Source organism: Homo sapiens, chromosome 6 (genome assembly GCF_000001405.40).
Source record: "Homo sapiens chromosome 6, GRCh38.p14 Primary Assembly".
Lineage (NCBI taxonomy): Eukaryota > Metazoa > Chordata > Mammalia > Primates > Hominidae > Homo > Homo sapiens.
Window position 1 is genome coordinate 151,219,769 of NC_000006.12, and position 12,341 is coordinate 151,232,109.

Sequence of the window (12,341 nt, forward strand, 5' to 3'; positions counted from 1 at the left end):
AGACCAGCCTGGACAACATGGTGAAACCCTGTCTCTACAAAAATACAAAAAATTAACTGGGTGTGGTGGTACACACCTGTAATCCCAGTTACTCGGGAGGCTGTAGCAGGAGAATCGCTTGAGCCCAGGAGTCAGAGACTGCAGTGAGCCGAGATTGCACCACTGCACTCCAACCTGGGTGACAGAGCAAGACTCTGTCTCTAAATAAATAAATAAATAAATAAATAAATAAATAAATAAATGGAGATAGAGAATGAGAGAAAGGAGAAGGCCTAGGATGGGGCCTTGAGGAAGAGCCATATTAACAAAAAATCAAAAATAAGTCTGCAAAACAGTCCAAAGGGCAGTGGCCTAGAGATAGACAAAACTGGGAAGAAGAGATTTCCCAAGGGAAGTGGTCAACAGCGTCAAATGCTGCGGGGTATGAACAAAGATAGAGGCAGAGACGTGTTCTCCGTATGTGGCAGCCGGGACAGACAGCAGCCTTCTGGAGTGGCAGGCACAGACACCATATGGCAGAGCATTGGGGAATGAGGCAGAGGTGAAAACCTAGTGCTATATAGACTGTTCTTTCAAGAATCTGGATTGTAAAAGAAAAGCAATCTCTTTGGTCACTGAGCAAAGTCTTGCGGTTAATTTTTTTTTTTAATGTATGTGTGTGGTAACAAAATGTATAACACAAAATTTATCATCTTAAACCATTTCTAAGCGTATAGGTCAGTTGTGTCAAGTACATTCACATGGTTGTGCAACCAACTTCCAGAACTTCTTTTTTTTTAATTAAAAATAAATAAATAAGGCTGGGTGTGGTGGCTCACGCTGTAATCCCAGCACTTTGGGAGGCTGAGGCGGGCAGATCACAAAGTCAGGAGATCAAAACCATCCTGGCTAACGCAGTGAAACCCCGTCTCTACTGAAAATACACACACACACACACAAAATTGGCCAGGCGTGATGGCAGGCGCCTGTGGTCCCAGCTACTCTGGAGGCTGCGGCAGCAGAATTGCTTGAACCCCGGAGGCGGAGGTTGCAGTGAGCTGAGATTGGGCCACTGCACTCCAGCCTGGGCAACAGAGTAAGATTCCATCTTAAAAAAAAAAAAAGATGTTAGACAAAAAGCAAATTCGAGTTCAAAATAGGTCATAAAGCAGCACAGGCAACTTGCACCATCAACAATGCATTTGGCCCAGGAACTGCAAATGAACATACAGTGTAGTGATGGTTCAAGAAGTTTTGTAAAGGAGACGAGAATCTTGAAGATGAGGAGGGTAGCGGACAGCCATCAGAAGCTGACGACGACCAACTGAGAGCAATCATCAAAGGTGATCTTCTTACAACTACCCGAGAAGTTGCCAAGGAACTCACTGTCGACCATTCTATGGTCGTTTGGCATTTGAAGCAAATGGGAAAGGTGAAAAAAGCTCCATAAGTGGGTGCCTCATGAGCTGAGCAAAAATTTTAAAAAATCGTCATTTTGAAGTGTCATCTTCTCTTATTCTACACAACAACAACGAACCATTTCTCAATCGGATTGTGACATGAGACGAAAAGTGGATTTTATACAACAACCAGTGATTGGACTGAGAAGAAACTCCAAAGCAGTTCCCAAAGCCAAATTTTCACCAAAAAAAGGTCATGGTCACTGTTTGGTGGTCTGCTGCTGGTCTGATCCGCCACAGCTTTCTGAATCCTGACGAAACCATTACATCTGAGAAGTATGCTTAGCAAATCAGTGAGATGCACCAAAAACTGCAATACCTGCAGCTGGCATTGGTCAACAGAAAGGGCTCAGTTCTTCTTCACAATAACATAGGATTGCATGTCGCACAACCAATGCTTCAAAAGTTGAAAGAATTGGGCTACGAAGTTTTGCCTCATCCGTCATATTCACCTGACCTCTCACCAATTGACTACCAGGCGTCTTGACAACTTTTTGCAAGGAAAATGCTTCCACAACCAGCGGGGTTCAGAAAATGCTTTCCAAGAGTTCGTTGAATCCCAAAGTACAGATTTTTATGCTACAGGAATAAACAAACTTATTTCTTGTTGGCAAAAATGTGTTGATTGTAGTGGTTCCTATTTTGATTAATAAAGATGTGTCTGGGCCTAGTTATAATGATTTAAAATTCATGGGCCAAACCCACAATTACTTTTGCGCAATCCCACCAACAGTGCACTAGAGTTCAAATTTCTCCACATCCTCACCAACATTTTTTATTTTCTGTTGTTTTGAAAGTAGCCAGGCTGGGCGTGGTGGCTCACACCTGTAATCCCAGCACTTTGGGAGGCCAAGACGGGCGGATCACGAGGTCAGGAGATCGAGACCATCCTGGCTAACACGGTGAAACCCCATCTCTACTAAACAAAATACAAAAAATTAGCCGGGCGTGGTGGCGGGTGCCTGTAGTCCCAGCTACTCGGGAGGCTGAGGCAGGAGAATGGCATGAACCCAGGAGGTGGAGCTTGCAGTGAGCCAAGATCGCGCCACTGCACTCCAGCCTGGGTGACAGACAGAGTGAGGCTCCGTCTCAAAAAAAAAAAAAAAAAAAAAAAAAAGGAGCCATCCTAGTGGTTGTGAGGTGAGTCATTTGAATATCATTTCTATTTATTGAAGAAATGTCTATTCAAGTCCTTTGCCCTTTTACATCGGGTCATTTGACTTTTTTGTTGTTGAGTTGCAGGAGTTCTTTCTGTATTCTGGATAGTAACTCCTTTTCAGGTATATGATTTGTACATATTTTCTGCCACTCCGTCAGTTACCTTTTCAGTCTTTTGATTGTGTTCTTTAATGCAAAGAAATTTGTAGTTTTTTTTTGTTGTTTTTTTGAGACAAAGTCTCGTCCTGTTGCCCAGGATGGAGTGCAGTGGTGCAGTCTTGGCTCACTGCAACCTCTACCTCCTGGGTTCAAGCAATTCTCCTGCTTCAGCCTCCTGTGTAGCTGGGACTACAGGCACGTGCCACCACACCCGGCTAATTTTTGCACTTTTAGTAGACATGGGGTTTCACCATTTTGCCTAGGCTGGTCTCGAACTCCTGACCTCAGGTGATCCACTGGCCTCTGCCTCCCAAAGTGCTGAGGTTACAGGTGTGAGCCACCATGCCCAGCCAGTTTATAGTTTTGATGCTGTCTGATTTACGCATTTTTACCATTGTTACCTATGCTTTTTGTATCATATCTGGGAAACACTTGCCAAATCCAACGTCAGCTTTTCCCCTGTTTTCATCTAGGAGTTTAATAGTTCTAAGTTTTATATTTAGTTCTTTGATCCATTTTAAGTTGCTTTTCATGTATGGTATAAAGAAGGACTCAATTTCATTTGTTTGCATATGGAAATACAGTTTTTCCAACACCATTTTTTGAAAGGCTGTTCTTTCTTCCTTGAACGGTCTTGGCATCTTTGTCAAAAGCCATTTAGCTGGGTGAAGTGGCAGACATATGTAGTCCTCACTACTCAGGAGGTGGGGGTAGGAGAATTGCTTGAGGCCAGGAATTCAAGGCCAGCAAGACCCCATTTCAAAAAAATAATAAGAATTTAAACAAATCATTTGGCCGTACATGCATGGGTCTATTTCTGAGTTCTCTATTATATTCCACTGGTTTATATGCCTGTCTGTATGCATACCATATTCTTTTGATTACTGTAGTTTTATAATAAGTTTTGAAATCAAGAAGTGTAACACCTCCAACTTTGTTCTTTTTCAAGATTATTTTAGCTATTCAGGGTCCCTTGAGAGTTTATATAAATTTGGGAATAGACTTTTCTGCCATTGGGATTTTGATAGGGGTTGCATTGAATCTGTTGATCTATTTGTGTGTGTGGTTTTTTGTTTGTTTGTTTTTTTAAGATGGAGTCTTACTCTTGTTGCCCAGGCTGGAGTGCAATAGCACAATCTCGGCTCACTGCAACCTCCTCCTCCTGGGTTCAAGTGATCTCCTGCCTCAGCCTCCCGAGTAGCTGGGATTACAGGCACCTGCCACCACACCCAGCTAATTTTTGTATTTTTAGTAGAGACAGGGTTTCACCATGTTGGCCAGGCTGGTCTCAAACTCCTGACCTCAGGTGATCCATCTACCTCAGCCTCCCAAAGTGCTGAGATTATAGGTGTGAGCCACCACGCCCAGCCTATTTGTGTAGTATTGATATTTTAACAATATCATGTCTTTCAATCCATGAACATGAGAAGTCTTTTCATTTATTTGTGTCTTCTTTCATTTATTTCAGCCATGTTTTCAATGCACAAGTTTTTTGCCTCATTGGTTAAGTAAATTCTGAAATATTTCATTCTTTTTCATAATAATTTTGCTGTTAATTTCCTATTCAGATTGTTCATTGTTAGCATATAAAAATGCAACTAATTTTTGTATGACTTTATATCCTACAACTTTACTAAACACATTCATTCTAACTGTGTATGTGTGTTTGTATGTGTGTAATCATTAGGGCTTGCTGCATGTAAGCCCAGATGATCTATGAACACTTCCTTTCCAATTTGGATGCCTCTGTCTGTTTATTTTTAAACCTAAAATAGATTTCAACATTTCTATAAAAGATAAAGTCAATAGAGGAAGTGATTAAAGATGGGGGTGGGTGAAACTATCCATGGAACCCATGTACTGGCATTAGCCTAGTATTCAAATAGCAGCTTCTGTTACCTCCATCCACCAGGATGCTCCAATAAAGATACAAGAGTTACCTGTATGGTTGAGTTTGAGAATTAATGAGATCCCAGTGGAGCAGAAAGACAGGAAATGCTCTGTTTGGGGCTAAAAAGTTGGAAAACCCAAAGTGACTCTTTTCCAGTGTGTTAACAGTTCCTACCTGCAGAGATGCTACCTGGACACACAGACAGAGGCACAAACCTCCCGGAGTGGATGAGAAATCTGCGTGATGGGCATGCAGTGCACAGAGGACAACATGACCAATGACCTCTTCATCACAGCTATCTACTATAGAGGGCACAAAAATGAAATGGTGGACAAAAATACAAGGCCCAACATTACAAACTAAACAATGGTTTCATATGAGAGATCTACTATTTAATTACGATATGAGGGAAAAAAAGGAGACCACCTATTATTAAAGATCAAAGTGTCAGCAGAGGTCATATTCTACAGGCATTGTGTCTTCACTAAATTGGAGCTGAATATGATTAAACTCTTGCATTTAAAAGTGGAAGTGTTTTAAAGCATTTCCTTTCTTCCTTCCTTCCTTCTTTCCTTCCTTCCTCTCTCCCTCCCTCCCTCCTTTCTCTTTTCTTTCTTTCTTTCTTTCTTTCTTTCTTTCTTTCTTTCTTTCTTTCTTTCTTTCTTTCTTTCTTTTCTTTCTTTCTTCCTTTCTTCCTTCCTTCCTTCCTACCTTCCTTCCTTCCTTCCTTCCTTCCTTTCTTTCTTTCCTAGACAGAGTCTTCCTGTCACCCAGGCTAGAGTGCAGTGGCACGGTCTCTGCTCACTGCAGCCTCTGCCTCCTGGGTTCAAGCAATTATCCTGCCTCAGCCTCCAGAGTAGCTGAGACTACAGGTGTGCACCACCACGTCTGGCTAATTTTTGTATTTTTAGTAGAGAACAGGGTTTCACCATGTTGACCAGGCTGATCTTGAACTCCTGACCTCAGGTGGTCCACCCGCCTTGGCCTCCCAAAGTGCTGGGATTACAGGTGTGAGCCATTGTGCCTGGCCAAAGCATTTACTTCAGTGAAATGATGGGGCCTCAAAAGTTCTAAAAATGTGTGGCCCCTCAAATTCTTTTTGTGTATGTGTGTGTGAGCCAAAGATTTATTTCTTCATTTCTTGCATTTGAAGTACTCTTGGATGACATCCTTGGCCTGAGACTCCTTGCCATAGTCCTTAACTACTACACAACTGCAACCAACCACTTTACAGGGTTTCCCTTCTCTGTTAATTTTACAGAGGCCTATCCTTTCCCCTAGTTTCTTGTTGTCATCAACCTTAATTAGGTTGATTTGGTGTTCATGGCAAAGGGCCTCCACGACTTGACATACATGGGCTCATCACAGTTGGGTACAAGCACACAAAGATGGGCTTGGCACTTGTCTAAGGCTTCGGCAGCTTCGTGAATTCCACGTGCTAGGCCATCGTGGATGAGGGCGGTCTTCAGCACCTCTTGTAAAGCAGTATTAACGTCCATTACACCTCCAGCAGCAATGCCTTCCTTGGCCATGGCGGTGGATTACGGGTGAAGCTGAATCTTGAAGGCACCCAAGCCTCCGCCTCCGCACGACTCGGCAGAGGCAGGGAAAGAGCCTCAAATTCTTAGCGCGTTAAAAATTTCTGCCTAGATCTGAGAGACCTCCTCTTACCATTGCCAAGCCAACCTATTGTGTCTTTTACAAATATTGACTTTTACAATATTGACTTTAGTTACTGCATTGACTTTAGTTACTGCACTGACTTTAGTTACTGCTTCGACATTCCATCTAAGTGGAATTAACTGGAAACTTCTCTTCGGCCTCCCTTGCAAAGTCGTTCTTTCCACAATGGGCTATTTACCTCTCTCTGTTTCTGATGCAAAAGCCTCTTGGGCCTCTAGGGAAACATCTTTCAGATCCGAGGACTATTCTTTTTTTTTTTTTTTTTTTTTTAATTTTGAGACAGAGTTTTGCTCTTGTCGCCCAGATTGGAATGCAATGGTGTGGTCTCGATTCACTCCAACTCCGCCTCCCAGGTTCAAGTGATTCTCCTGCCTCAGCCTCCCAAGTAGCTGGGATTACAGGGGCCCGCCACCATGCTTGGCTAATTTTTGTATTTTTAGTAGAGATGGAGTTTCACCATGTTGGCCAGGCTGGTCTCGAACTCCTGACCTCACGTAATCCACCCATCTCAGCCTCCCACAGTGCTGAGATTACAGGCATGAACCACCGTGCCCAGCCAAAGACTGTCCTATATTGAAGTTGGACATTTAAATGTACATCTAATTTGCCACTCCAAAAAATAACTTGAAATTTTCATTCAGAACTATTAGGTCTGAATGTAGGTAGTGTTTTAGTGTCATTGTCTAAAATTCTGGATCCTCTCAGCCCCAAGCATGAAAAAAAGGCCATTGTACCTACAGTTCAATTTCAGTTGTTTTTGGTTGAGCACCTCTTGGTTTTTTTATTTGCAGATGAGATGATCATAGCTGATTCTGCCTCTGTGGTCACAGTACAGGTTCTCCTTGTAGCACCGTCTTCGTTGTGAAGTTGTTCTGTGACTCTGCCTGCCGTTAAATGAACTCATTTCCCACTCACACACCTGCCTCTGAGAGCTTGATGCTGATCCTATTCGGAAACCAAGCAGTGCAGCAGCCTCACAGAATAGGGCTTCAGCCAAACTCGGACATGAGAAACACTGAGGCCTCAGCTCAGATAGGAACAGTAACCACTGAGAATTTGTATTTGCTAAAGTCAAGAAGAATCTACCACAGTCCTCTTTATAAAACATCTGAAAATCCTTAGACTTGCAAATTTACATGTAATTTATTCATCCTTTAAACACAAACACATAGCATTTTTTTAAACACCAAAACCCCCAAATATTTATTATTTCACATTTTCTGAGGATCAGGAACCCAGAAATGGCTTAGCTGGTTGGTCCTGACTCAGGGACTCTCATGAGATTGCATTTAAGCTGTCGGCCAGGGGCTGTCATCTCAAGGATCATTTGACACTGGACTTTACTTCCAAATTCACTGTCGTAGTTGTTCATAGGTATTGGTTCTCAACTCGCTAGGGCAGGAGGCTTCAGCCCCTTACCACACAGGCCTCTCCACTGGGTGGCTTACAAGATGGCAGCCTGCTTTCCTCAGACTGAGAGATGAGAGGGAGGATCCAAGGTGGTAGCCCAAGTCTTTAACCTCAAAAGTGATACCAGGGTTGGGCACACAGTCCAACCCTGGTAAAATATGATACGTAGCATTTTACTTCATAGCACTAATGCTCAAAGTTGTGGATTAATAGGAAGAACATGCTCTAAATAAATGTATATGAATATACTGGGGCCAGGTACTGTGGCTCACGCCTGTAATCCCAGCCAAGGTGAGTGGATCACCTGACGTCAGGAGTTCAAGACCAGCCTGGCCAAAATGGTGATACCCTGTCTCTACTAAAAATACGAAAAGTGGCCAGGTGTGGTGGCAGTCGCCTGTAATCCCAGCTACTCCGGAGGCTGAGGCACGAGAATCACTTGAACCCAGGAAGCAGAAGTTGCAGTGAGCCAAGATCGCGCCATTGCAGAGTGAGACTCTGCCTCAAAAAAAAAGTATATATATATTTTTGGTAGAGACGGGGTTTTGCCATGTTGCCCAGGCTGGTCTCGAACTCCTGATCTCCTCAGCCTCCCACAGTGCTAGGATTATAGGTGTGAGCTACTGCGCCCGGCCTGTACTAGACTTTTATATGACCGGTGTGTTGACACCAGCATCACCACAGACACATGCGTAATGTGTGACAATGGCTCTTACATCTCCAGGCAATAGGAATTTCTCAGCTCCATTATCATCTTATGGGACCACCATCATATATGTGGCCCTTCATTGTGCACCATCTTACCTGGTGCAGACTGTACTCAAATTAGTAATTAAAATAGAATGAGATGAAACACATATAAATGGAAGTTACCTGTTTTCATTTCCACCTCAAGAGTCCTCTGAGAGCCTGCTGGTTGGGCATGGCCCTGTGTGCAGCACCTTTGTCATTACTTAGAATTGTTGCTCATGGAAAATTCTAGAGAATCTCAGTCTCAGGATTCTTGCATTCTTGGGAAATCATGATAGGCTTAGAGTGCAACCAGAAGAGAGAATCTGAATTAAGGGGGCTTTAATGATCATACCCAATGATTATTTTCAAGATAAATAGTTTTCCTCATTTTCTAGGTCCTAAGGACAGATTAATGGGTTGTAATTCCTGTTGTTTCCATCAATTTGTCCTCTAGAAAATAAGTTCCCCAAGTGGCTAAGTCTGTCATGTTAATTGATCTCATCTCTTGTTCATCAGCTATTGATTCACAGACAAAACTCGCACTTTGAATTGGTGGAAGCTTTTGATTCCACAATGACCAGTGAGATAGATTACATTGTTTAATGTTGGTTTTTCGTAGTTGTTGTTATTGTTTTTGTTTGTTTGTTTTTGCTGTGTTTTTTTTAGACAGAGTCTCCTTCTGTTTACCAGGCTGGAGTGCAGTGGTGCTATCATGGCTCACTGCAGCCTCAACCTCTCAGGCTCAAGGGATCCTCCCACATCAGCCTCCCCAGCAGCTGGAACTACAGGTGTGGACAACTACTTCCGGCTAATTTTTTTTTTTTTTTTTTTTTTTGTAGAGATGGGGTTTCACCATCCTGTCAGAGGTGTTTGAACCAGAGCAACTCCAATTTGAATAGGAGCTGGGTAAAATAAGGCTGAGCTCTACTGGGCTGCATTCCCAGGAGGTTAGGCATTCTAAGTCACAGGATCAGACAGGAGGTTGGCACAAGGTGCAAGTCACAAAGACCTTGCTAATAAAACAGGTTGTGGTAAAGAACCTGGTCAAAACCCACCAAAACCAAGATGGCGATGAAAGTGACCTCTGGTCATCCTCACTGCTCATTATATGTTAATCATAATGCATTAGCATGATAATAGACACTCCCACCAGCACCATGACAGCTTTCAAATGCCATGGCAATGTCAGGAAGTTACCCTATATGGTCTAAAAGGGGAAGAACCCTCAGTTCCTGGAACTGCCCACACCTTTCCCAGAAAAACGCATGAATAATCCACTCCTTGTTAAGCAGATAATCAAGAAATGACATAGCCAACGAGGAGCCCATGCTGCTGCTCTGTCTGTGGACTAGCTATTCTTTTATTCCTTTACTTTCCTAATAAACTTGCTTTCACTGTCTGATATGGACTCGCCCCAAATTCTTTCTTGTGCAAGGTCCAAGAATCCTCTCTTGGGGTCTGGATCAGGACCCCTCTGGGTAACAATGCTGCTCAGGCTGGTCTTGAACTCCAGGGCTCAAGCAATCTTCCTGCTTCAGCCCTCGAGTAGCTAGGACTACTAGAGGCGTGCGCCACCCTATCTGGTTTAAATCACATTGATTAGTTTTCCTATTTTGTGGCCAACCCCTTGCCCCACCGAAACAAACAAACAAAACAAAAAAGACAATGCACTGGTTTAAAATACGTCCAGTTTATCAAGAGAGTAACTTCATTGTTCTTGGGGCCTGTTCCCAGGCAGGCCCCCCTCACCCCCACCCCACAAAGGGATGAATAATTGTGCCAGTTTCTCCAAGGGTCTAGGGGTTCCAGGACACATAACTTAGGCTGCTAGAGGCTCCAGGAAGACCAAGGAAGCCCTGGGGCAAGTTTCCTCGCAGCGAACTGCCTCCATTATCCTGAGATTCCCGGGGCTACAGAGGAATTGAGGAGAATGCATGAGAAGGGAGCAGGAGTGGGTGTCTGGAAAGGGTGGGGCAGATAAGGGACTTCAAATCAGATCAGCAGCTCCTATGATGAATATATGACAAATAAGTAGTATATGGGCAGTGACTGAAACATTTGCAGCTTTAAGAAAGAACTCAAATGAGAGCCAAGCCCAAACATTTTTACCTGCTCCAAACAATTTCCGGAATCCCACTATGGCTTGGGTGGGAGGGAAGAGACTCCCACTTAATTATCTACATGGTTTTAAGGTTTTGGATGACAATATATTTAAAGAAAGTTGCTCTAGGCTGAGCTCAGTGGCTCAGGCCTATAATCCCAGCACTTTGAGAGGCCAAGGTGGGCAGATCCCTTGAGCCCACGAGTTCGAGACCAGCTTGGGCAACATGGCGAAACTCCGTGACTACAAAAAATTAGCTGGGCATGCAGATCACGAGGTCAGGAGATTGAGACCATCCTGGCTAACACGGTGAAACCCCGTCTCTACTAAAAATACAAAAAATTAGCCAGGCGTGGTGGTGGGCGCCTGTAGTCCCAGCTACTCGGGAGGCTGAGGCAGGAGAATGGCGTGAACCCGGGAGGCGGAGCTTGCAGTGAGCTGAGATTGTGCCACTGCACTCCAGCCTGGGCAACAGCAAGGCTCTGTCTCAAAAAAAAAAAAAAAAATTAGCTGGGCATGGTATAGTGTCACATGCTTTAGTCCCAGCTACTGGGGAGGCTGAGGCAGGAGGATCAATTGATTCCAGGATGTTGAGGCTGCAGGGAGCCATAACCATGCCACTGCACTCTGGCCTGGGTGACAGAGCAAGACTCTGTCTCTAAAATAAAGAAATAAAGGAAGTTGCTCTTGCAACTTATACTGAGAAAAACAGTGTTAGAATTGGGGGGAAATTATTCTTCAACTTAATTGCTAGTTTTTTCAAACCAAGCCCATCTCATAGATCTCAAAGGATCTCATAGAGGTCAGCAGTTTGAGACCAGCCAGGCCAACATGGTAAAACCCCGTCGCTACTAAAAATACAAAAATTAGCTGGGGCTTGGTGGCATGCGCCTGTAATCCCAGCTGCTCAGGTGGCTGAGGCAGGAGAATTGCCTGAACCTGGGAGGCAGAGGTTGCAGTGAGCCAAGATCATACCACTGCACTCCAGCCTGGGCGACAGAGCCAGGCACCATCTCAAAAAAAAAAAAAACAACAAAAAAAAAAACAAAAAAAATTCAGCTTCTGGCCTGGTATGGTGGCTTATGCCTCTGATCCCTGTGCTTTGAGAGGCTGAGGTGGGAGGATTGCTTGAGGCCAGGAGTTTGAGACGAGCCTGGGCAACATAGGGAGACCCTGTCTCTACAAAAATGAAAAAAATTAGCTGGGTGTGATGGTGCACACCTGCAGTCTCATCTACTCAGGAGGCTGAGGTGGGAGAATCACTTGAGCCTAGGAAGTCAAGGCTGCAATGAGATGTGATCCCACTACTGCACTCCAGCCTGGGTGAGACCCAGTGAGACCTTGCCTCTAAAAAAGAAAAAGAAAAAAAATAGCTTCTAATGTTGGTGAACACTATGTGCTGACAGCTTTAATCATTATTGAAGCTTTTAAAAAATATAATTAGAGAATAGTTATATTAGGAGGCTGAGGCAGGAGGATTGCTTGAGCCCAGGAGTTCTAGACCAGCCTGGGCAACATAGTGAGACCCCAACTCTAAAAAGAAAAAAAGTTTACTTATGTGTTAATCTTGGAGAGCATCTTGCTGCATTACCTTGAGTGTTGCAAATGTTTACAGGCAAGTGAATATATAATAGTTGTTATTAAATATAGGCCATAAGAATGATATGGATTTTCTAAATTCAGAAAGTATGAACCATGCTCAATTTTGTTCAAATTAAATTTAGTCTAGAAAATGAACATTTAAAACCCCAAAGTCATCCCTTTTTTA

The 12,341-nt window shown here is 43.5% G+C and overlaps 1 long non-coding RNA gene and 1 pseudogene across 1 annotated transcript in view, besides 1 other annotated feature; both read right to left on the minus strand.

Moving 5' to 3' along the window:
• Positions 1 to 8,689, minus strand: part of LOC102723831 (uncharacterized) — a 31,785-nt gene extending 23,096 nt beyond the window's left edge. The window contains exon 1 of the long non-coding RNA NR_125868.1: positions 8,614 to 8,689. This is a non-coding gene — a long non-coding RNA (uncharacterized LOC102723831). The remainder of the gene's footprint in view (positions 1 to 8,613) is intronic.
• On the minus strand, positions 5,760 to 6,261 carry RPS12P11 (ribosomal protein S12 pseudogene 11; annotated as a pseudogene).
• Positions 9,542 to 9,747: a silencer, noted in NCBI's record as "fragment chr6:151550445-151550650 (GRCh37/hg19 assembly coordinates)". NCBI's record gives its function as "represses an EF-1alpha promoter that drives an FKBP-Casp9 reporter gene in an ReSE screen in HepG2 liver carcinoma cells and K562 erythroleukemia cells {active_cell/tissue: HepG2 | K562}" and the evidence as "EXISTENCE:reporter gene assay evidence [ECO:0000049][PMID:32094911]".